Source organism: Homo sapiens, chromosome 17, assembly GCF_000001405.40.
Source record: "Homo sapiens chromosome 17, GRCh38.p14 Primary Assembly".
Classification (NCBI taxonomy): Eukaryota; Metazoa; Chordata; class Mammalia; order Primates; family Hominidae; genus Homo; species Homo sapiens.
In genome coordinates this window covers 7,264,004-7,288,257 of record NC_000017.11, presented here as the reverse complement: position 1 = coordinate 7,288,257, position 24,254 = coordinate 7,264,004, and the positions used below count along the sequence as shown (strand labels likewise).

General features: G+C 50.6%; 1 protein-coding gene across 1 annotated transcript, besides 2 other annotated features; it reads right to left on the bottom strand.

The window, feature by feature from the left end:
* Positions 1-6,540, bottom strand: SLC2A4 (solute carrier family 2 member 4). The gene is made up of 11 exons (NM_001042.3): positions 6,291-6,540; positions 4,897-5,013; positions 4,613-4,785; positions 4,396-4,520; positions 4,169-4,284; positions 3,879-4,041; positions 3,586-3,773; positions 3,319-3,423; positions 3,069-3,170; positions 2,350-2,553; positions 1-1,832 (listed from the first exon to the last, which is right to left on the bottom strand). The coding sequence occupies exons 1-11, from the start codon at positions 6,321-6,323 to the stop codon at positions 1,629-1,631; spliced, it is 1,530 nt and encodes a 509-aa protein (NP_001033.1). The 5' UTR covers positions 6,324-6,540; the 3' UTR covers positions 1-1,628.
* Positions 5,307-6,294: an enhancer, noted in NCBI's record as "H3K4me1 hESC enhancer chr17:7185283-7186270 (GRCh37/hg19 assembly coordinates)". NCBI's record gives its function as "activates a minimal SCP1, AML or CMV promoter by ChIP-STARR-seq in naive H9 embryonic stem cells {active_cell/tissue: H9 hESC(naive)}" and the evidence as "EXISTENCE:reporter gene assay evidence [ECO:0000049][PMID:30033119]".
* Positions 6,427-6,576: a silencer, noted in NCBI's record as "silent region_8100". NCBI's record gives its function as "represses an Ori minimal core promoter by ATAC-STARR-seq in GM12878 lymphoblastoid cells {active_cell/tissue: GM12878}" and the evidence as "EXISTENCE:reporter gene assay evidence [ECO:0000049][PMID:35858748]".

Here is a 24,254-nt window from a genome sequence, read left to right as displayed (position 1 = left end):
TGTGGTCTTGGTCTCCATCTCTTCTGTTTTGGAGAATCGCTAGTAACTCACTGTTGAAGGTGGGGAGGAGGGGATGTGGGGCCGTGGGCAGGGCCTGGCATCCTTGCTGCCATGTCTCCAGCTGTGTCCCTGGTGAAGAGTGCCCCTATCATGGGTTTCACTGCCCATCTGTGACATGGGCTGACACCTCCCTCACAGAGTGAGTATTCTGCAAATGCCAAGAGCAATGCCCGGCACTGGCAGCTACAATTTATTGAGCATTTACTATTAATAAAGCAACGAGTAGAAATGTGAGTAGGGGCATGAGCAATGGCATCCAGAAGATTCTGAGGCCTTGAGCTGAGGCAGGACAGAGGGAGGAAGAGGGGTGAAGAGTTATGGTCCCTGTCTCAGCCCATCCTCAAGTACCTCCACAATAGGATGCTTGTCTTCAGCAGTGACTTTATAGAAGTATCTATATATATACATTTAGTACAACCGACCTTTGGTTTCTTCTCTCAATCCCCTTTTCAAACGTATATAAAAATATCCAAAGGCTCCTCCCAGCCCAGTGTTTCCAGGCAGCCTTTCAAATCCCCTCTTTGCCTTAGTTGGTCAAAAGCCTGTGGATGCAGCACCCTTCCAGGAAGGGAGAGGAAGAAAGTTAGGGCTCCTTCTTGGCAGCCTTGGGAAACCATCGGGGTAGAGCCCCAAGCCTAGAGGCGGGAGCCTGCCGTCCTTCCATCTTGCCACACATGGGCACATACTTTCCTGTTCCCTCTTGCCCTGGAAGGCTGAGCCTGCAGTGAGGGAGGTGAGTCCTTTTCCCTGCAGGGGTCAAGAGAGAACTCCCTTCGCCAGGCGCGGTGGCTCACGCCTGTAATCCCAGCACTTTGGGAGGCTGAGGCAGGCAGATCACGAGGTCAGGAGATCGAGACCATTCTGGCTAACATGGTGAAACCGCGTATATACTAAAAATACAAAATAAATTAGCCAGGTGTGGTGGCATGCGCCTGTAGTCCCAGCTACTCCGGAGGCTGAGGCAGGAGAATGGCGTGAACCTGGGAGACAGCTTGCAGTGAAGCAAGATCACGCCACTGCACTCGAGCCTGGGCGACAGAGCGAGACTGTCTCAAAAAAAAAAAAAAAAAAAAAAAAAAAAACCCCTTTGCCCAGAGTCTGCGTGGCAAGAATTCAGTGAAAGTCCCAGATTGTGGGAGGAGTCCAAGGTGGTGGGAAACTGGATTTCTTGTCTCCTGTCCTGCTCTCTGCTCTGGTTTGTCCCACTGAGAAAGTCTAGACCTGTCTTCCCTCCAATCCCCCTTCTCTAGCAGCGAAGAAGGTATTCTGGAGCTGAGTCTGGGGAAGGTGGGGAGGAAAGGGGATGGGGGAAGGAAGAGGGAGGGGAGAGTGGCCCACCCTGATGGCCACGGCCAAACCACAACACATAAATAATCCAAGAGAGTCACACGAGGGGAATGAGGGGGTGCTCAGACCACCCTTCCCCCAGCTTCCCAATTCTACCAGGCTGCAGGGATTCTTTTCCACCCGGAAATAATAGGGAAGAGAGGGTTAAAGTGCTGCAGAGGAAAGGAAGGGGTCTCTGGGCCGGGTAGAGAGAGCTGGCTCTCCCACCCCTGCCTGGCCCCTCAGTCGTTCTCATCTGGCCCTAAATACTCAAGTTCTGTGCTGGGTTTCACCTCCTGCTCTAAAAGAGAGGGTGTCCGGTGGAAGGCAGCTGAGATCTGGTCAAACGTCCGGCCTCGAGTTTCAGGTACTCTTAAGAAGGTGAAGATGAAGAAGCCCAGCAGGAGGACCGCAAATAGAAGGAAGACGTAGGGCCCCATAGCCTCCTGGGACAGGTGGAGAAAGAGGTGTTGACGGAGTGAGGTGGGGAGGGAAGGGGTAGTTTCAGGCAACCAGGAGCTAAAGGCCTTCATAGGGAGCTGGGGGGACGGCAGACAGCAGCTGCCTCCTCCAGGGACAAGGGAAATGAGCAGGAATGAGAATTTACACTGAAAAGAGGATTCTCTGAACCCCAAACACTCTTAGTTTTCGCCCTCTTCACCATCCTCAGTTACTGCACTCAGAGGAGAGTCCCAGCTGTTTGTAGTATTAATGCAAAGTGTATCATTTTATTCTTGGAGTAAGGTAAGTTATGCCACTGGTGCGTTTCAGACACCTCAGTTACTATCCAATCTAGGTCAGCTCCCTTCCTTGCTTTGATTCTGTGGAGCAGGTGGTCCACCAAACTGACCCAAAGACCCATGGTCTGTGGCTGGAGGAGTCCCTGACGGGGAAGCAGGTGGGCTAGCTGTGTGATGCCCACCTCTGGCCTACGGTGTGGGAGGCTGGGGCGGGGGGACCTACCGCAACATACTGGAAACCCATGCCAATGATGAAGTTGCTCGTCCAGTTGGAGAAACCAGCCACAGCCATGGCTGCCGGGCGGGGTCCCTGGCTGAAGAGCTCGGCCACGATGAACCAAGGAATGGGGCCAGGGCCAATCTCAAAAAATGCCACGAAGCCAAAGATGGCCACAATGGAGACGTAGCTCATGGCTGGAACTCGCTCCTAGGGGCCAGACAGGGAGGGTGGAGAATCCAGTTGAGGCCTTTCTGATCTTCCCTTGCCCTCAACTCAGAGAAGTGAAACCTAACCCCCTCCGCAGCAGCTTGTAGGGGGCCTGCTGTCCCGGGTTAGAGCAGGCCCTTGACTGGCATTCTGCTGGCTATCCCAAGTGGGTTCAAGGCAGAGGAAATGTTATGGCCTCTCAGTTCTTATGACGGTCAGCTCTCCCTGGACTCTAAAGCTGGGTCCTTAGGAATGATTGTTCCTGAGGCTTGACAGGGGCTCTCCCTCCTGGCTGCCAGAGTTGTGCCACAGCTGCCTCCCAGTGCAGCCCAAATCCCTCAGGAGCAGACCACAATCCCAGCAGATTCTGGAGCCAGTCAGCCCCAGTCCTGGTCCGGAGCTGGCGCCAGGATTGAAAGCATGTGTGTTAAGAAGGGACCCTGGCTGGTCACAGAGACTCACAGGACCATTCCCATGGGGTGGGCTGCTAGCCCCTCCTAGCCTCCAGGCCTTACCAGCAGGAGCAGAGCCACAGTCATCAGGATGGCACAGCCACACATGCCCGCCAGGCCCAGGAGATGGAGCGTCCGGCGCCCCGCCCGCTCCACCAACAACACCTGCGGGGAGAGTCGGAGCTTGACCCCAGCCTTTTGGGCACGGGAAGTAGGAGGGGCCGCGTGGGTGAGGGCAACCAAGAGCAGGACCTCCGGGACACCCAGGGAGGTGAAGCCAGTGGCTCGGGCCATTCCAGAGGTGAGCAGTTACCGAGACCAAGGTGAAGACTGTGTTGACCACACCAGCTCCTATGGTGGCATAGGCAGGCTGGCCTACCCCTGCTGTCTCGAAGATGCTGGTCGAATAATAGAAAACCTAGAGGTGGGGGAGAAGAAGAAGTGATGGCAGGAATGCCCCTTCCTCTACTCCAGCCACAACAGGCTGGCCCTACCCTGGGTGTTGGTGGAGGGGGTTTGCTCCCCACTCTCGTCTACCCTCCCGGGGCTGTGCCCTGCCTGGAGGCTGCTCCACACATACAGCATTGATGCCAGAGAGCTGCTGGCTCAGCTGCAGCACGACCGCAATGATCAGGGGCTGCCGGTGGGTACGGCTGCCCAGGAGCTGGAGCAGGGACAGTGGCCGCTCACGCTCCAGCTTCCGCTTCTCATCCTTCAGCTCAGCCAGCACTCCAGAAACATCGGCCCAGCCTGTCAGGCGCTTCAGACCTGGAGAAGGGAAGGTCAGGCCTGAGGGGACCTGAGAGGAAGCCAGGTGCTAGCAAGATGAGGCGGAGGCATGGGCCTGGGCCAGGCTGCAGCGGGAGAGCTTACTCTTTCTGGCAGGCCCCTCGAGATTCTGGATGATGTAGAGGTAGCGGGGGCTCTCGGGACAGAAGGGCAGCAGGACCAGCTGCAGGAGGGCAGGTAGCACTGTGAGGCCCAGGAGCAGTGGCCACAGGCTGGCAGTGCCCAGGAGGGACTCCAAGCCCAGCACCTGTGGGAGAAGGTTGGGAAAGAAGGCAGGTCACTCAGCCCTTCTGCCTTACCTTGGAAGCCCACCATATTCTCCAGAGCCCCACTCTAACCACTGCCCAGGCACCCATGAGGCTTGCTCCGGTCACCTGGGCGATCAGAATGCCGATAACAATGGCCAGTTGGTTGAGCGTCCCCAGGGCGCCCCGCAGGTGAGTGGGAGCAATCTCCCCCACGTACATGGGCACCAGCCCTGATGTCAGCCCTGGGCGAGGGAAGAAGAGAGGGCTGAGGGCAGGTGTCCATTCCCATCTGAAAGCCCAGGCATGGTGAAAGAGAACAGGGCGCTAGGCAGGGCTGTGGTGCCCGTGAGTACCTGAGTAGGCGCCAATGAGGAATCGTCCAAGGATGAGCATTTCATAGGAGGCAGCAGCATTGGCCAGGCCCATGAGGCTGCCCCCCAGCACCGCCAGGACATTGTTGACCAGCATGGCCCTTTTCCTGGCAGGCAGACAGAGTGAGGCTGTGAGGGTGAGGGCACCCAGCAGTGGCTCCCTTCCTGTTTCCCCCACCCCTGCCCTCCAGCTGCGAACCTTCCAAGCCACTGAGAGATGATACCAATGAGGAAGGAGGAAATCATGCCGCCCACGGAAAAGATGGCCACGGAGAGGGCCCAGAGGGTGGTGAGGGTGCCTGGAGGGATGGAGCTGGGTCCCTCAGGCCCCTGCCTCCCCAGCCACGTCTCATTGTAGCTCTGTTCAATCACCTGGGGGACAGCAGAGGACAGATTTCCTGCAGACCGTCCCCTTTCCACCACCCCCGAGACACCTGTCCTCCTCGTTTGGGTACCCCCACCCTGCCAGCTGCAGGCCCTCACCTTCTGAGGGGCATTGATGACCCCAATGTTGTACCCAAACTGCAGGGAGCCAAGCACCGCAGAGAACACAGCAAGGACCAGGGTCCCAGTCACTCGCTGCTGAGGGGGTTCCCCATCCTGAACAGGCAGACACAAAGACACAGCATGTCACATGGAACCATGATTTTTTTCCTTCCGCTAGGGGCCCGGGCCCAGCTGGAGCCTGAAGATACTGGGCTCCACCCAACATGTTGGGTGAGGGAAACTGGGCCATATTAGGAATTGCACAAAGATCTCAATGTAAACAGGAGCTGAACTGCAACCTGGGCATAAAGGAGAAACTGGATGTTTGGGTCCATAAGGCAGAGAAATGTTTGAGAACTTGTCTCAAAATTCTTCTGTGACCTTGAGACAGGCTTGGCCTTAAGAGCTCAGATTTGTGTGACCTTGGCCAAGTCACTTCCCTGCCCCGAACCTGAGTGTCCTCTGTGAGATGGGGGTGATGTTGCCTGCCTTGCCTACCTATCTGTGAGAGTGTTGTGAAAATCAACATCACATGTTAACAATATCCTTGACAGTGCTGGTTTCATAAATTAACACGTGCATTATTATCATCAGCCACTGTCCTCTTCCCTCCCCTCTGGGGGTTCTGTCAGCCAGCTCCAGGAGGCCCCCAACAGGACCAAGAAGTGCTGTTCCAGAAAGGACATCCCGGTCATCTAGGGGTGGCCTTCTCTATCTACGTCGTGGCCTGCCCTCCCCCTCTAACCTCCGTGCAGGGAGGGCCGTCCAGGGGTTCTGCCTGGGAGAGCCATGCCCAGGGGAGGAGGGCAGGAAGGTAGTGTGAGGGGCGGTGGCAGTGGTGGCCGCTCGCTGGCGGCACAGACTGTCTCCAAGCGGAAACCTGAGCTGGAGGAGGGGGGGCTGACAGTCCCCTCTGCCCCTCCACCAACCATGGGGCCAAGGGAAAGTTCAGCGTCCTGGAGGGCGGCCAGGAGTGGGGGTGGGGGCCCACGGAGAGCCTCCGGTCCTCGAAACACTGCCCGTGAGCGAAGACGGACGGACAGCTCCCGGAGGGCAAGACCCGCCTGGATCTGCTTTCCCGAGTCGGATCGAGGGCAGGGTGTCCCCGATTCCGGAGCGCCGCGCCGCCTACTAGGCAAGGGGGTGAACCCTGGCTCGCAGAATCCACTTGCTGCCTGTGCCCCGAAAGGCCCTCCAGACCCACTCTGCCTTTTGGTAGGATTGGAATCTCACAGTCACGGGTTGTCCAGGCCGGGTATAAATAGCCAGCCCCCTACCTTCACCCCCTGCGCCTGCGCAGGAACCACCCCCAGCTGACCCCAACCGCGACCCCAGCCCAAGAAAAGCGGGACCCGTGCCCCCCCGCCCCGCCCCCTCATGATGAATCCTACTTCGGAGCCTATCTGTTGGAAGCCCGACGGCATCTCGTCTTAGAAGAGCTGGACGCGCAGGGGCGGCGAAGATGAAAGAACCGATCCTGGAGTCTCTGACTCCGGCCTGGAGCGCAGAACCTGCGGAGGCCGCGGGGGTCCCGGAGTGACGTGCGAGGGCGGGCCCGATGGGACCCACAGCCACAAGCCAAGGACCCGGAGAGCAGTGGGGCTCCCGCGGATCTGGTGGAGCGGGGCTGGGGGAAAAGACGCGAGAAGCCCCCGCCACCTCGCTCCTGCCCCCGCGGGCCACGCCCTTCACAGCACCCATTGGCCAGGAGCCCGCACACCCCAGAAGGCCACGCCCCCTCCGCCTGGGGTTTAGAGTTTGGCTGGAGTTGGTGGGGCGGGCCAATGAGGCCACGCCCCTCCGCGTGGCTGGCGAGACACGCCTCTCGGGTTCCCGCCAGCCTCCGACTGGGAAGTTTTGAGAAAAGAGTCCCTGGAACAAAAGGCCCCGCCCACCCACGTGTTAGGACTCCGCCCACCAGCTAGGATCCCGGGCTGCAGAAGCATCTTAAACTCTGCGGGTCTGGACAGTGGGGTCTGAGAGGAGAGGACGGGCCAGGTGTACTTGCCCCGGGGAAACTCCAGCGGCCTGAGACGGCTCGCGAGCCGGCGCGCGGGTTGGGAGAGGAGCAATGCCCCAAAGTAACCCGGGGCTGCTATTTTTAGCTCCCACGTTGGGAGCCTCCAAATGTCAGGTCCCGGGCGTCCCGGCCTGTCCCAGGCGGGGGCGGAGAGACAGGGAGATGACGCCTTAAAGAGTCCGCGACATGCTTCCCACGCGAGTGTGGCCCTGGGGGCCAGGAAATTCCGTTCCCACAACGGGTCTGGTGGCCGGGCTGCTTGGTCCTGTCTTTCAGCGCCTCCCTGCTCCGGGCACTGTCTATCCCGCCCTTCCCCTACACACATTCCCCAGGTTGGTTCCTGGAGCCGGTCCGAGGGACAAGTGGTCACAACCGACCACACCACCAGCCCTGAGGTCTCTGAGCCTCTGAGGTCTCTGAGCATATGCTGGCCGCGTGAACGACACGCTCTCTGGAGGCTGCTCCGGGTTTGGATCCTCGGCCAAATTCTGCCAGGCAGAAAGTGCGCGACCTAGGGTCGGCGTGTGGGGAGAGAGAAGCCGAAATACCCAGAGCGTGGAGAGTGTCTGGCTCAGAAAACGGGCTTCGGAAGCGCAGGGTTGTGCTGCCACCTGGAGGGCGAGCGAGGAGCCGCAGTGGATTGCACTTGGAATCTCAACCCACTATTTCTCGCCTTTCCGCCACCATAGGGCTTCAGTGACATCTGACCCAGGCCCTTCTCTGGAGCTGCAGATCCAGGTGTTCGTTACCGCCCGGATGTGGCAGCTCTAGTGATCAGCATGTCCAAACCTGCTCCTCCTCCTAACTTCCTTATTTCAATGAATTACCCGCCCAGTCACCCCTATGGTAGAAGTCAGGCTCGATTCCTCCTGTCCTGCGCCGCTCTCCTCGTTTATCCAGTTAGTTTCCAACATTGGTGCTTTGACCTCCAAAACTCTCTCACATTCATCCGATATTCTCCGTGGCGGCTGCCACTTCAGTCCAGATCACCATCACCCTCACTGGTCTTCGTGCTCCTCTTATTTCCTTTATGACGAGGGCAGAGAACAATTTTCGAAGGTCCAATCTCATCTCTCAAGCAAGAAGTCACTGTCTCTGTTGCCCCAATTGCCAAGTTCAAATCCCTTTTCAGAGTGAACAAAACCTCCTGCCTCTCTTATCCGATCTCTGGCCTTACCTATCTCTCCTGCCTCTCCTTCTATCTCCTTCGCCTCCTGTTCTGGGCAATGCCTAAGTCCTTATTGTACCCAGAACACACTGTGCCTTTACATCCCTTCTTGATTCCTTTGCTGCACTAATCCCCTGAAAAATCTGGAATGCCGGCCCGGCCTGGTGGCTCATGCCTGTAATCCCAGCACTTTAGGAGGCCAAGGCAGGTGGATCGACTGAGGTCAGGAGTTTGAAACCAGCCTGGCCAACATAGAGAAACCCCATGTCTGCTAAAGATACAAAAATTAGCCGGGCGTGGTTATGCACACCTGTAATCCCAGCTACTCGGGAGGCTGAGGCAGGAAAATGGCTTGAACCCAGGAGGTGGAGGTTGTAGTGAGCCAAGATCGTGCCCTTGCACTCCAGCCTGGCGACAGAGTGACTCCGTCTCAAGAAGAAAAAAAAAAATCCGGAATTCCAAAGGACTCCTCTTCATCCTTCAAAGAAAGCTTCCTCACCCAGTTCCTGCTCCACAGGTTCACTTTGTTTCCGGCTTCTGGGGACCTTGATCCCTGAGTTCCAGCACAGAAGATTGAACGAATGACAGTTATTAGCACACTGTCTTCACTGATCTATGTCTCATTTTTATTTTTGTTTTTGTTTGTTTTGAGACAGAGTTTCGCTCTTGTTACCCAGGCTGGAGTGCAATGGCACAACCTTGGCTCACTGCAACCTCCATCTTCCGGGTTCAAGCCATTCTCCCGCCTCAGCCTCCCGAGTAGCTGAGATTATAGGCATGCGCCACCGGGCCCAGCTAATTTTGTATTTTTAGTAGAGATGGGGGATTTCACCATGTTGGTCAGGTTTGTCTCCAATTCCCGACCTCAGGTGATCCACCTGCCTCGGCCTCCCAAAGTGCTGGGATTACTGGCGTGAGCCACCATGCCCGGCGATTTTACTGGTTTTGAGTTGAGGTCTCTGTTGCTCAGGCTCGAGTGAGAGGCACAGTCACCGATCACTGCAGCCTAGACTTCCTGGGCTCAAGCGGTCCTCTCACCTCAGCCTCCCAAGTAGCTAAGACTACACGTTCGATTCACCACACCCAAATGCTTATTCCAATGCATTCAATTATTCCAGTGCATTAAATGTTCATTTTTTTCTTTGTGCTCTTACAAAATATAAATCATTTTGTGTGCAAAGTTTTTTTTTTTTTTCTTTTTATGAGACAGTGTCTCGCTCTGTCACCCAGGCTGGAGTGCAGTGGGGCGATCTCCACTCATTGCAGCCTCCGCTTCCCAGGTTCAAGTGATTCTCCTGTCTCAGCCTCCGGAGTGGCTGGGATTACAGGCTTGCGCCACTGTGCCTGGCTAATTTTTGTATTTTAAGTAGAGACGGTTTCACCATGTTGGCCAGGCTGGTCTTCAACACCCGACCTCAAGTGATCTGCCCACCTCAGCCTCCCAAAGTGCTGGGATTACAGGTGTGAGTCACCACGCCCGGCCCAAACATTTTAAATTTCCATAAATAGCATCTTGTTATATATTTCACTCTGATCTTATTTTCAGTAATCACGATGTTTTTAAAATCCACTCGTGGCCAGGCGTGGTGGCTCACGCCTGTAATCCCAGCACTTTGGGAGACTGACGCGGACGGATCACAAGGTCAGGAGATCGAGACCATCCTGGCTAACACGGTGAAACCCTGTCTCTACTAAAAATACAAAAAATTAGCCAGACGTGGTGGCGGGCGCCTGTAGTCCCAGCTACTCGGGAGGCTGAGGCAGGAGAATGGCATAAACCCGGGTGGCGGAGGTTGAGGTGAGCCGATATCATGCCACTGCACTCCAGCCTAGGTGACAGAGTGAGGGTCCATCTCAAACAAACAGACAAACAAACAAACACAATGAGATCAGGCTGGGCACAGTGGCTCACGCCTGTAATCCCACCACTTTGGGAGGCCAAGGCCGGCCAAACACCTGAGGTCGGGAGTTCGAGACCAGCCTGACCAACATGGAGAAACCCTGTCTCTACTAAAAATACAAAATTAGCTGGGTGTGGCGGTGCATGCCTGTAATCCCAGCTACTCAGGAGGCTGAGGCAAGAGAATCACTTGAACCAGGGAGGCAGAAGTTGTGGTGAGTTGAGATCGCGCTATTGCACTCCAGCCTGGGCAACAAGAGTGAAACTTCATCTCAAAAAAAAAAAAAAAAAAAAGAGAGATCAGTTACTTTGTCAGATTTAGGCATTGCAGATACCTTCTCCCATTCTATCATCTCTATATTAATTTTTCCTTCATGAACTTCATGAAATAGATTTTTTTTCTTTTTTCATATGGAGTCTGGCTCTGTTACCCAGGCTGGAGTACAGTGGTGCAATCTCGGCTCACTGCAACCTCTGCCCACCGGGTTCAAGTGATTTTCTTGCCTTAGCCTCCTGAGTAGCTGGGATTACAGGTGTGAGCTACCACATGCAGCTAATTTTTGTATTTTTAGTAGAGACGGTGTTTCACCATGTTGGTGAGGCTGGCCTGGAGCTCCTGACCTCAGGTGACCCACCCACCTCGGCCTCCCAAAGTGCTAGGATTATATGTGTGAGCCACCGCTCCTGGCCAGAATAGAAATTATTAATTTAAGTGTAATGAAAATGACCATTTTTTCCCCTTATGGTTTGCAATTTTTGATAATTTGTATATATTCTTTCCCAACTCTGCACCATAAATGCATTCTTCTACATTTTCTTCCAGTAACTTTATAGTTTTACTTTTCACATTTAAGTCTTCTTGATTCCTCTAGAATTCATCCTTGTTTTAGGTGTTAGGGATCCAATTTACTTTTCTCTTTAGTGAACCACTTTTATCATATATCAAATTCTAATGTATGATGTAAGGGTCTGTCTCTGAATTTGTATTCTGTTCCATTGATGTATTTGTCTGTTCTTGCACAAGTTGATTTTTATGATACTTTGTAGCAAGTTTAAATTTCTGAGAAGGGCAAGAGACTTCTTGTTACTCATTCTTTTTTTTTTCTTTCTTTTTTTTTTTTTTTTTTTGAGAAAGAGTTTTGCCCTTGTTGCCCGGGTTGGATTGCAATGGCCCGATCTCAACTCGCTGCAACCTCTGTCTCCTGGGTTCGAGCGATTCTCCTGCCTCAGCCTCCTGAGTAGGTGGGATTACAGGCGCCCACCACCATGCCTGGCTAATTGTTTTGTATTTTTAGTAGAGACAGGGTTTCACCACGTTGGTCAGGCTGGTCTTGAACTCCTGTCCTCAAGTGATCCGCCCGCCTCAGCCTTCCAAAGTGCTGGATTACAAGTGTGAGCCACCGTGCCCGGCCATTACTCTTTCTTTTCACTGTAGACTTAATATTTGTTGTTTTTTATTGCTCTATACAAATTTGGAGATACACTTAACAAGATCTGTTTTTTAAAAAAACTTGCTTACATAAATTTAACGTTAAAAAAAAAAAGCCTAAAACAACAGTTGGATTTTTTTTTTTTTTGAGACGGAATTTCGATCTTGTCAACCAGGCTGGAGTGCAATGGCGCAATCTCAGCTCACTGCAACCTCTGCCTCCTGGGTTCAAAATATTCTCCTGCCTTGGCCTCCCAAGTAGCTGGGATTACAGGCGTGAGACACCACTATGGGCTAATTTTTGTATTTTTAGTAGAGATGGGGGTTTCACCATGTTGGTCAGGCTGGTCTCGAACTCCTGACCTCAGGTGATCCACCTGCTTCGGCCTCCCAAAGTGCTGGAATTACCGGCATGAGCCACCACACCTAGCTGCCAGTTGGATTTTTATTGGTAACATTGAATTATAAATTATTCTAGGGACAATTGATATCATTATAATATTAAGTCATCCCATTTGAGAGCATGGACTATTGATTTATATATTCAGGCTGTCATCTATGTATTTTATGAGAATTAAAAAACATTTTTCCACTAAAGTTTTAAGAATTCTTGGTTAATTCCTAGATACCTTATAACTTTGTCACTGATGTAAATTGCATGTTATTTATTTATTTATTTATTTTTGAGACATAGTCTCACCGTGTTGCCCAGGCTGGAGTGCAATGGTGAGATCTCAGCTCACTGCAACCTCCGCCTCCCAGGTTCAAGCGATTCTTCTGCCTCACTGTCCTGAGTATCTGGGACTACAGGCGTGTGCCACCACGCCCTGCTAATTTTTTGTATTTTTAGCAGAAATGGGCTTTCACCATGTTGGACAGGCTGGTCTCTGACTCCTGACCCCATGATCCACCTGCCTCGGCCTCCCAAAGTGCTGGGATTACAAGCGTGAGCCACCGTGCTTGGCCATTGAATGTTATTTTTGTTATTCTTTTTCTTTCTTCTTCTTCTTCTTCTTTTTTTTTTTTTTTGAGACAGAGTGCCACTCTGTTGTCCTGGCTGGAGTAGAGTGGTGCAATTATGGCTCACTGCAGCCTCCTGGGCTCAAGAAATCCTCCCACTTCAGCCTCTCAAGTAGCTGGGACTACAGGCGCACACCACCATGCCCAGCAAATTTTTGTATCTTTTTGTAGAGACAGGGCTTCCCTATATTGCCCAGGCTGGCCTGAAACCCTTGGGCTCAAGTACCCACCTACCTTGGCCTCCCAGAATGCTGAGATTACAGGCGTGAGCCACTGTGCCTGGCCTTTTTTTTTCTTTTTCTTTTTTCTTTTCTTTTCTTTTCTTTTTTTTTTTAACATTTTCTGATTGGTAATTTCTGGTGCAGTAAAATACTAGTAGTTTTTGTTTGTTTGTTTGTTTTATAGGTTAATTTTGTACACAACAACCTTTATGAATACCCTTGCTTGTTCTACTAGTCTTTCTGTTGATTTTATTTTATTTATTTGTTTATTTTAAGACGGAGTTTCGATTGTTACCCAGGCTGGAGTGCAACGGCGCTATCTCGGCTCACTGCAACCTCCGCCTCCGGGCCTCAAGCAATTCTCCTGTCTCAACCTCCCGAGTAGCTGGGATTACAGGCATGCACCACCATTCCCGGCTAATTTTGTATTTTTAGTAGAGGCGGGGTTTCTCCACGTTGGTTAGCCTGGTCCCGAACTCCAGACCTCAGGTGATCCACCTGCCTTGGCCTCCCAAAGTGCTGGGATTACAGGTGTGAGCCACTGCGACCGGCGATTTTATTGGTTTTTCTAAGTAGATGATTATATTACCTGCAAATAATCAGGGTTTTTGTTTTGTTTTGTTTTCTTGTTTTGAGACGGAGTCTGGCTCTGTTGCCCAGGCTGGAGTGCAGTGGCACGATCTTGGCTCACTGTGACCTCCACCTCCCAGATTCAAGCGATTCTTCTGCCTCAGCCTCCCAAGTAGCTGGAATTACAGGTGTGAGCTAGCACATGCAGCTAATTTTTGTATTTTTGGTAGAGATGGGTTTCACCATGTTGGCCAGGCTGGTCTCGAACTCTTCACCTGTTGATCCACCCACCTCGGCCTCCCAAAGTGCTGGGATTACAGCCGTGAGCTACCGCGCCCGGCAAATAATCAGTTTTATTTTTTCCTTTCGTATCTTTGCACTACTTGTTTCTTTTATTTCCTTGTAGTATTGCTCAAGACCTCTAGGATTTTGTAAAATAAGTGTGGTAACAGTGGACATCTTTGTTTTTTTCCCCAAGAATAAAAGAGATGAGTCCAACATTATTCATTAAGTATAAGAATTTCCTATCTAACCTTTGTTTGCTAAAGGTTTTTATGATAAGCAGGTATTGAACCTCATCAAATGCCCTTTAAAATTCTCATTTGAGATAGCCATATGATTTTTTTTCCTTTTTTTTTTTTTTGAGACGGAGTTTTGCTCTTGTTGCCCAGGCTGGAGTACAATGGTGCAATCTCGGCTCACCACAACCTCTGCCTCCCAGGTTCAAGCGATTCTCCTGCCTCAGCCTCCCGAGTAGCCGGGATTATAGGTGCCCACCACCACGCCCGGCTAATTTTGTATTTTAAGTAGAGACGGAGTTTCTCCATGTTGGTCAGGCTAGTCTCGAACTCGCAACCTCAGGTGATCCACCCGCCTCAGCCTCCCAAAGTGCTGGGATTACAGGCGTGAGCCACTGCGCCCAGCCTCTATTTTTTTTTTTTTTTTTTTTTGAGATGAAGTCTCGCTCTGTCACCCAGGCTGGAGTGCAGTGGTGCGATCTCGGCTCACTGCAACCTCCGCCTCCTGGGTTCAAGTGATTCTCCTGCCTCAGCCTCCCGAGTAGCTGGAACTACTAGTGTGTGCCAACACGCCTGGCTAATTTTTTGTATTTTTAGTAGAGACAGGATTTTGCTGTGTTAACCAGGATAGTCTCGATCTCCTCACCTCGTGATTCACCCACCTCGGCCTCCCAAAATGCTGGGATTACAGGCAAGAGCCACCGCATCCTGCTGATTTTTTTCCTTTAGTCTATTATTGTGATAAACCACATTGATGGATTTTGTAATTTTTTCTTTTTTTTGAGACAGAATCTTGCTGTGTTACCCAGGCTGGAGTGCAGTGGCATGATCTAGCCTCATTGCAACCTCTGCCTCCTAGGTTCAAGCGATTCTCCCGCCTCAGCCTCCTGAGTAGCTGGGACTACAGGCGTGCGTCACCACACCCGGCTAATTTTTTTGTATTTTTTTTTTTTTTTGAGACAGATTCTCGCTCTGTCACCCAGGCTGGAGTGCCGTGGCATGATCTCGGCTCACTGCAAGCTCCGCCTCCCGGGTTCGTGCCATTCTCCTGCCTCAGCCTCCCAAGTAGCTGGGACTACAGGTGCCTGCCACCGCGCCCGGCTAATTTTTTGTATTTTTAGTAGAGACGGGGTTTCACCATGTTAGCCAGGATGGTCTCGATCTCCTGACCTCGTGATCCACCCACCTCAGCCTCCCAAAGAATTTTTTTGTATTTTTAGTAGAGACGGGGTTTCACCATGTTGGTCAGGCTGGTTTTGAACTCCTGGCCTCATGTGTTCTGCCCATCTCAGCCTCCCAAAGTGCTGGGATTACAGGCGTAAGCCACCGCTTCCAGCCTAGTTAAGTAATATTTTATTAAAGACTTCTGTGTCTATATTCATAGATTAAATGGGCCTAGAATTCTTTTCTTATATTATTACTAACTGATTTCAGAGGCAAGATTACCCTAGCCTCATAAATGAGTTGGTCACTTTTTCACTTCTTTTCCAAATCTGTATCTCAAATATCTACTCCAGAATGAACCATAGTAGACCACTTAGCCCAGCCTCTTGTTTCCCAAGTAGGCAAAAACATTATCACTCCTATTTTAAAGATGAGATAGTCGAAGCCCAAGAATGAAGTCCTGAAGGAAGCAGAATTAGAACCTGGAATATCATTTGCCTTGAAATAATCAGTAACCAATTACTTTATAAATAATGCTGCAAGTTTCCAAAGTTAATTTATGTATCAGTTTTTAGAACTCAGAACAATTTCCTGTAGAAACAAACAAGTTGGTTGGGTTTTCATACGAGGTTGATTAACTCATAATGTCATCATCCACCACCCCATACTGTAGTGTACATCCCCTAATATCACCCAATCTTCCAACCAGACTTGACCTTTCAAATTTTTCCACGGTTACCTCTGGACTCAATGTCTGTCATCATTCTTATAAGCCCATCCTCTTCTCTGAACCTCCCTTTCCTAGACCTTACTGAAACCTGGCGTCTGGAGGGCACACTTCCCTGGCAGCCCTCTTTACAGAGGCTTGTTCATCGGTCTTTGCATACTGCAGAGTAGAGTTGGGTGGATTGCTCCCTAGTGCTGCGTCTAGACTCTTTTTTTTTTTTTTTGTTTGAGACAGCCTGCTCTGTCGCCCAGGCTGGAGTGCAGTGGCGCAATCTCTGCTCACTGCAACCTCCTCCTCCCGGGCTCATGCCATTCTCCTGCCTCAGCCTCCTGAGTAGCTGGGACTACAGGCGCCTGCCACGACGCCTGGCTAATTTTTTTTGTATTTTAGTAGAAACGGGGTTTCACCATGTTAGCCAGGACGGTCTCGATCTCCTGACCTCATGATCCACCCGCCTCAGCCTCTCAAAGTGCTGGGAGGGATTACAGGCGTGAGCCACCGTGCCCGGCCTTTTTTTTTTTTTTTCTTGAGATGGAGTCTCACTCTGTTACCCTGGCTGGAGTGCAGTGGCGCGATCTTGGCTCGCTGCAACCTCCGCCTCCCGGGTTCAAACGATTTTCCTGCCTCAGCCTCCTGAGTAGCTGGGATTACAGGCGTGCATGACCACGCCCGGCTAATTTTTGTATTTTTAGTAGAGATGGGGTTTCACCATGTAGGTCAGGCTGCTCTCGAACTCCTGAACTCGTGATCTGCCCCCCTCGGCCTCCCAAAGTGCTGGGATTATAGGCATGAGCCACCATGCCTGGCCTTAGACCCTTATTCTTTCTTCATCTTTCAAAATCCTCTGCTTTTTGAAATTAACGTCTCAAACTATATGATCTGCTGCCTCTACTTGTTGCAAGGGTCTTCAAACCCGGTTGTTCACCCACATTCACTGATAATGTTAGCACCTGGCTCATCTTCTTCCTCTTTTCACCTATTTTTTCCTAACATCATCGTTGATAACTTCATAATCCATCAGGGCAATCCATTGTGGCCTCTCCACTCCTCAGTCTCTTCTCCAGTGATTTTCCTCTTCAGCCCATCCTCAGACCTCTACCCTAGGTTTTGTCATCTCCAAAAACAAACTCTTCCAACTTTTTTTTTTTTTTTGAAATGGAGTCTCGCTCTGTTGCCCAGGCTGGAGTGCAGTGGCGCCGTCTCGGCTCATTGCAACCTCTGCCTCCCGGGTTCAAGCGATTCTCAGCCTCCTGAGTAGCGGAGATTACAGGCATCCACCACCATGCCTGGCTAATTTTTGTATTTTTGGCAGAGATGGGGTTTCACCATGTTGCCCAGGCTGGTCTCGAATTCCTGACCTCAAGCTATCTGTTGGCCTTGGCCTCCCAAAAGGCTGGGATTACAGGCATGAGCTGCCATGCCTAGCAACAATTTTTTTTTTTTGAGACAGAGTCTTGCTGTATTGCCCAGGCAGGAGTGCAGTGGTGTGACCTCGGCTCATTGCAATTTCTGCTTCCTGGGTTCAAGCAGTTCTCATGGCTCAACCTCCCAAGAAGCTGGGATTATGCCTGGCTATTTTTTTTTTTTTTTTTTTTTGAGACTGAGTCTTGCTCTGTCACCCAAGCTGGAGTGCAGTGGCGTGATCTCGGCTCTCTGCAGGCCTCCGAGGCCTGGCCAATTTTTGTATTTTTAGGAGAGACGGGGTTTTGCCTTGTTAACGGGTCAGGCTGGTCTCAAGCCTCAAGCAATCTGCTTGGCCTCAAGTGATCTGCTTGCTTCAACCTCCCAATGTGCTAAGATTATAGGCGTGAGCCACTGTGCCCGGCCTTCTTCCAATTTTTTGAATTCAAACCAGGAATGTTTCATAATCACCTCTAGCCTTCTAGTTCATTTACTCACATATCCTCACTTTTTTTTTTCCTTTTTAAAAATTTTATTTATTTATTTATTTATTGAGACAGAGTTTCACTCTGTTGCCCAGTGGCGCAATCTCGGCTCACTGCAAGCTCCGCCTCCCGGGTTCACGCCATTCTCCTGCCTCAGCCTCCTGAGTAGCTGGGACTACAGGAGTGTGTCACCATGCCTGGCTAATTTTTGTGTTTTTAGTAGAGACAGGGTTTCACCGTGTTAGCCAGGATGGTCTCGATCTCCTGACCTCGTGATCCGTCCGCCTCGGCCTCCCAAAGTGCTGGGATTACAGGCTTGACCCACCGCACTCGGCCTCTTTTTTTCTTGAGACAGGGTCTCCCTCTGTTGCCCAGGCTGGAGTGCAGTGGAATGATCATGGCTCACTGTAGCCTCGACCTTCCAGGCTTAAGCAATCCTCCCACCGCAGCCTCTCGAGCGAGTAGCTAGGACTACAGGTGCCAGCCACCATGCCTGCCTAACTTTTTGCTGTTGTATTTTTTTTGTAGAGGTGAGGTTTTGCCATATTGCCCAGGCTGGTCTCCAACTCCTGAGCTCAAGTGATCCACTTACCTCAGCCTCCCAAAGTGTTGGGATTACAGACATGAGCCACCATGTCCAGACTCATGTATCCTCACTTCTTTCACCTCATGGGGACCTCTAAACTTTTGATCCTACCAGTTTTTCACTATCCACCAACTCTTTTGTGTTTTCTCTCCCTCTTACCCAATTTATATCTATAATCTAACACAATCACTCTCGTGAAAATATTATAAAATTCCTTCTTCCTCTTTTTAGTAACACCCAACCCTAGTTAATTTCAACTATTCATGTACTTGGATCCCATTTTTTCTCTTTTTTTGAAGGAGTTTCAGTCTTGTTGCCCAGGCTACAGTACAATGGTGCGACCTCGGCTCACTGCAACCTCCACCTCCTAGGTTCAAGTGATTCTCCTGCTTCAGCCTCCCGAGTAGCTGGGATTACAGGCACATGCCACCACACCTGATTAGTTTTGTATTTTTAGTACAGACCGGGTTTCTCCATGTTGGTCAGGCTGGTCTCGAATTCCTGACCTCAGGTGATCCGCCCACCTCAGCCTCCCAAAGTGCTGGGATTATAGGTGTGAACCACCACGCCCGGCCCCTACTTGGATCCTTTTATCCAACTAGTTACTTCAAGGCTATTAGAGGAAAAAAATCCATGATGATGCTCACCAGTCACGCTTTACTGGGACCCATTTTACTCCTCTCCTCCCTGGGACATTTGGCAACGTCTGGAGACATTTTTTGTCACACTTAGGTACAGGGGAGGGTACATCTAATTGATAGAAGTCAGAGATGCTCCTAAATATCCTATAATGCATGGGACAACAAAAAATTATCTAGCCCAAGAGATAGCAGGGGAGAAAATGTCAACAGTGTCAAGGTTGAGAAATTCTGCTTTAAATTAATTACTGTGAGTCTCAAAGGGGCAATCAACAGCAGGCCTTTGCCCTTTGCCCTTGCTGTTCCTTCTGCCTATAATATGGTTCCCTCGTGGCTTACTATTATTATTTTTTGTTTGTTTGAGATGGAGTTTTACTCTTGTTGCCCAGGCTGGAGTGCAGTGGCATGATCTTGGCACACTGCAACCTCTGCCTCCCAGTTTCAAGCGATTCTCCTGTCTCAGCCTCCCGAGTAGCTGGGATTACAGGCACACACCATCATGCTCGGCTAATTTTTAAAAATATTTTTAGTAGAGACGGGTTTTCACCATGTTGGCCAGGCTGGTCTTGAACTCCTGACCTCGGGTGACCCACCTGCCTCAGCCTCCCAAAGTGCTGGGATTACAAGCATGAGCCATTGTGCCTGGCCACTGGCATATTATTTAGCAGTCATTTCCTCAAAAAGTTCTCTCTAACCTCATCCTAGAGTAGATTCGACCTCATCAGATTACACTGCTTTATTGCTTTCAAAACATGCACCGTTTTGTTTATGTCTTTATTGTCTGCTTCTTCCTTCTAGAAAATAAGTAGCATGAGTTCAGTATCCTTATCCAGTTTGCTTCCTGCTGTATCTCCAGGGTCAACTATAGTGCCTGGTCTTTTTTTTTTTTTTCAGACGAAGTCTCACTCTTGTCCCTCAGGCTGGAGTGCAATGACGCGATCTCGGCTCATTGCAACCTCCGCCTCCTGGATTCAAGCAATTCTCCTGCTTCAGCCTCCCGAGTAGCTGGGATTACAGGCACCTGCCACCACACCCAGCTAATTTTTGTATTTTAAGTAGAGACGGGGTTTCACCATGTTGGCCAGGCTGGTCTCGAACTCCTGACCTCAGGCGATCCACCCACCTCGGCCTCCCAAAGTGCTGGAATTACAGGTGTGAGCCACTGCACCCAGCCTTTCTTTTTTTTTTTTTTTAAATTATTGAGACAGCCTGTTGCCCAGGCTGGAGTGCAATGGCGCGATCTTGGCTCACTGCAACCTCACAACCTCCGCCTCCCGGGTTCAAGGGATTCTCTTGCCTCAGTCTCCAGAGTTGCTGGGACTACAGGCGCGTGCCACCACGCCCGGCTAATTTTTTGTACCTTTGGTAGAGACGGGGTTTCACCATGTTGGCCAGGCTGGTCTCAAACTCCTGACCTCGTGATCCCCCCGCCTCAGCCTCCCAAAGTGCTGGGATTACAGGCATGAGCCAACATGCTTGGTCTCCCCCCCTTTTTTTTTTTTGAGACAGAGTCTTGCTCTGTTGCCCAGGCTGAAGTACAGTGATGCAGTCTCGGCTCACTGCAACCTCTGCCTCCCAGGTTAAAGCGATTCTCCTGCTTCAGCCTCCCGAGTAGCTGGGATTACAGGCCCCTGCCACCACACCCAGCTAATTTTTTGTATTTCTAGTAGAGATGGGGTTTCACCATGTTGGCTAGACTGGTCTCGAACTCCTGACCTCGTGATCCTCCTGCCTCTGCCTCCCAAAGGGCTGCGATTACAGGCATAAGCCACCACACCTGGCCGCACCATTTTTTTTTTTTAAGAGACAGGATCTCCCTCTGTTGCCCAGACTGGAGTGCAGTGGCATGATCATAGCTCACTGCAGCCTCGAACTTATGGGCTTAAGTGATCTTCTCACCTCAGCTTCCTGAGTAGCTGGGACTACAGACATAACCACTGTGCCTGGCCATGTCTGGCACATTATAGACACTTAGAAAATATTTGTTGAGGGCTGGGTGTGGTGGCTCGCACCTGTAATCCTAGAATTTTGGGAGGCCAAGGTGGGCGGATCACCTGAGGTCAGGAGTTCGAGACTAGCCTGGCCAACATGGTGAAACCCCATCTCTACCAAAAATATTTAAAAAATTAGCTGGGCATGGTGGTCCGTGCCTGTAACCCTAGCTACTTGGGAAGCTGAGGCACAAGAATCGCTTGAACCTGAGAGGCAGAGGTTGTGATGAGCCAAGATCGTGCCACTGCCTTCCAGCCTGGGTGACAGAGCAAGACTCTGTCTCAAAAAAAAAAAAGAAAAAAGAAAAAAGAAAATATTTGTTGAACAGTGAATGAAAATATTGTTTATTTGCAATTTATTCATTCATTCCTCAAATATTTATTGGTGATAAAATCCAGACACATCTCTACCCTCTTGGAGCATACAGTATAGTGGGGATATTGACATTGAATAAATAAGTACATAAAGTAAATACAGTATTTTCAAACTGTGATAAGAGCTTTGAAAGCAAAGTACTGGTAGCCGTGAGAGCACTATGCAGATGATCTGACTCAGTTTGGGGTGGGGTGGTCAGGCCAGGCTTTCTAAAAGAAGTGCTATTTGAGGGATAGCTGAAGGATTAGTTGGTTAGCTGGATAGAGGAAGGTGGGTGGGAGTGGATGGAGAAGAGCTTCCAGACCCAGAGAACAGACTGTACAAAGGCAATTCAGTGGGCAGGAACAGAGAAGGCCAGTGTGGCTGAGGCAGTCAGGTCAGCCATGGTGTGACACTTACTGGGAAGAACACGAGTGTCACTGAAAGATTTTATTTTATTTTATTTCTTTTTTTTTTTTTTGAGACAGTGTCTTGCTCTGTCGCCCAGGCTGGAGTGCAGTGGCGCGATCTCAGCTCACTGCAAGCTCCGCCTCCCAGGTTCACGCCATTCTCCTGCCTCAGCCTCACGAGAAGCTGGGACTACAGGTGCCCACCACCACACCCGGCTAATTTTTTTTTTTTTTTTTTGTATTTTTAGTAGAGACGGGGTTTCACCATGGTCTCGATCTCCTGACCTCGTGATCCGCCCGCCTCAGCCTCCCAAAGTGCTGGGATTACAGGCGTGAGCCACCGCACCCGGCCAACTGAAAGATTTTAAACAGGAAATGACAAAGCTCTGAGTGAGTAAGAAGTGGTCACTCCAGAGAATAGAGTTTAAAATGACCAGTGTGGAAGGGAGATTGGTTTGGAGGCAGTTGCTGTGTCCAGTCTTGGGCTGGTGTGGCGTGGCGGCAGTGAGTTTGGAGAGAAGCTGGATATAGTTAAGTGATGACAAATATTTTCTTTTAGAGCTAAAAGGAAAATTTTCAAGAAAATCTCAGCTGGTCTGAAGGTAGTGAATTATTTCAATTGATTGTTCACAGTCAGTTACAGACGGAACTTCTTTTTCCACTCTCACTGCTTTCTCACTACTGCATCTGACTAGTCTTTTAACATAATAAAAAAAAAGGCCGGGGGTGGTGGCTCAGGCCTGTAATCCCAGCACTTTGGGAGGCCGAGGCGGGCGGATCCCGATGTCAGGAGTTTGAGACCAGTCTGACCAACATGGTGAAACCCCATCTCTACTAAAAATACAAAAATTAGCTGGGTGTGGTGGTGCGCGCCTGTAATCCCAGCTATTTAAGAGACCGAGGCAGGAGAATTGCTTGAACCCGGGAGGCGGAGGTTGCAGTGAGCCGAGATCGCACCACTGCACTCCAGCCTAGGCAATAGAGCAAGATTACGTCTCAAAATAAAATAAAATTAAAAAGAAAAAAAGAAAATCTCACCATCGGAAAAAAAAAAAAAAAAAAAAAGGTCGGGGCCAGGCGCAGTGGCTCACACCGGTAATCCCAGCACTTTGGGAGGCCGAAGCAGGTGGATCACCTGAGGTCAGGAGTTCGAGACCGACCTGACCAACATGGTGAAACCCCATCTCAACTAAATACAAAAAGTTAGCCGGGTGTCGTGGTACATGCCTGTAATCCCAGCTACTTGGGAGGTTGAGGTAGGAGAATTGCTTGAACTTGGGAGGCAGAGGTTGCAGTGAGCTGAGATTGTGCCATTGCACTCCAGCCTGGGCGCAGTGGCTCACGCCTGTAATCTCAGCACTTTGGAAGGCCAAGGCGGGCGGATCACAAGGTCAGGAGATCGAGACCATCCTGGCTAACACGGTGAAACCCCGCCTCTACTAAAAAAATACAAAAAAATTAGCCGGGCGTGGTGGCGGGTGCCTGTAGTCTCAGCTACTCAGGAGGCTGAGGCAGGAGAATGGCCTGAACCCGGGAGGCGGAGGTTGCAGTGAGCTGAGATCGTGCCATTGCACTCCAGCCTGGGCGACAGAGAAAGACTCCGTCTCAAAAAAAAAAAAAAAAAAAAAAAAAAAAAAAAAAAAGGAAAGTCAGTTGCGGTAGCTCACTCCTGTAATCCCACCACTTTGGGAGGCTGAGGCAGGGAGATCACTTGAGGTCAGGAATTTGAGCCCAGCCTGGCCAACATGGTGAAACCTCGTTTCTACTAAAAATACAAAAAATTAGCTGGGCGTGGTGGTGCGCGCTTATAATCCCAGCTACTCGGGAGGGTGAGGCAGGAGAATTGCTTGAACCCGGGAGGCAGAGGTTGCAGTGAGCCGAGATCGTGCCACTGCACTCCAGCTTGGGTGACAGAGCGAGACTCTGTTTCAAAAAACAAACAAAGCCAGAACAATGATGACACGTGGCTGTAATTGCAGCTATTTGTTGGGGGGTGGGGGGGCATGCTTTGAGCCCAGGAGTTCAAGGCTGCAGTGAGCTATAATTGTACCACTGCACTCTAGCCTGGGCGACAGAGTGAGACCCGGCCTCTAAGAGTACATTAATCCAGAAAAGTACCATTAATCCAAAAGTACAACAATAAAAACGAATAACAAACAGTTCATGGCTGGGAGCAGTGACTCACGCCTGTAATCCCAGCACTTTGGGAGGTCGAGGTGGGTTGGGATCACCTGAGGTCAGGAATTCGAGATCTGCCTGGCTAACACGGTGAAACCCCGTCTCTACTAAAAATACAAAAATTAGCTGGGCGTGGTGGTGGGCACCTATACTCCCAGCTACTTGGGAGGCTGAGGCAGGAGAATCACTTGAACCCAGGAGGTGGAGGTTGTAGTGAGCCGAGATCATGCCATTGCACTCCAGTCTGGGCGACAAGAGCAAAAACTCTGTTTCAAAAAAAAAAAAAAAGAGTTCATGAAAGTCTTCATTTTATACAAAAGCAGGTCAATTAGCTTAGCATAAGGGGGACTTTAATATGTTTAGCGAATAAACGAAGGAAAGACAGAGAAATGTTTGAGAGGGCAAAACAAAGATAAAAAACGTGAGAGAGTTGAGGTAAAAAATGGAGAGAGGAAAATGAAATGAGAGAGAGCCAGAATAAGCAGGGTATGTGAGAATCTGAGAAGTATGAGGAGGTTGGAGGGTAGTAGGAAGATTGGGAGGAAACTGGGCAGGGTGGGTGGGGAAAGTGCAG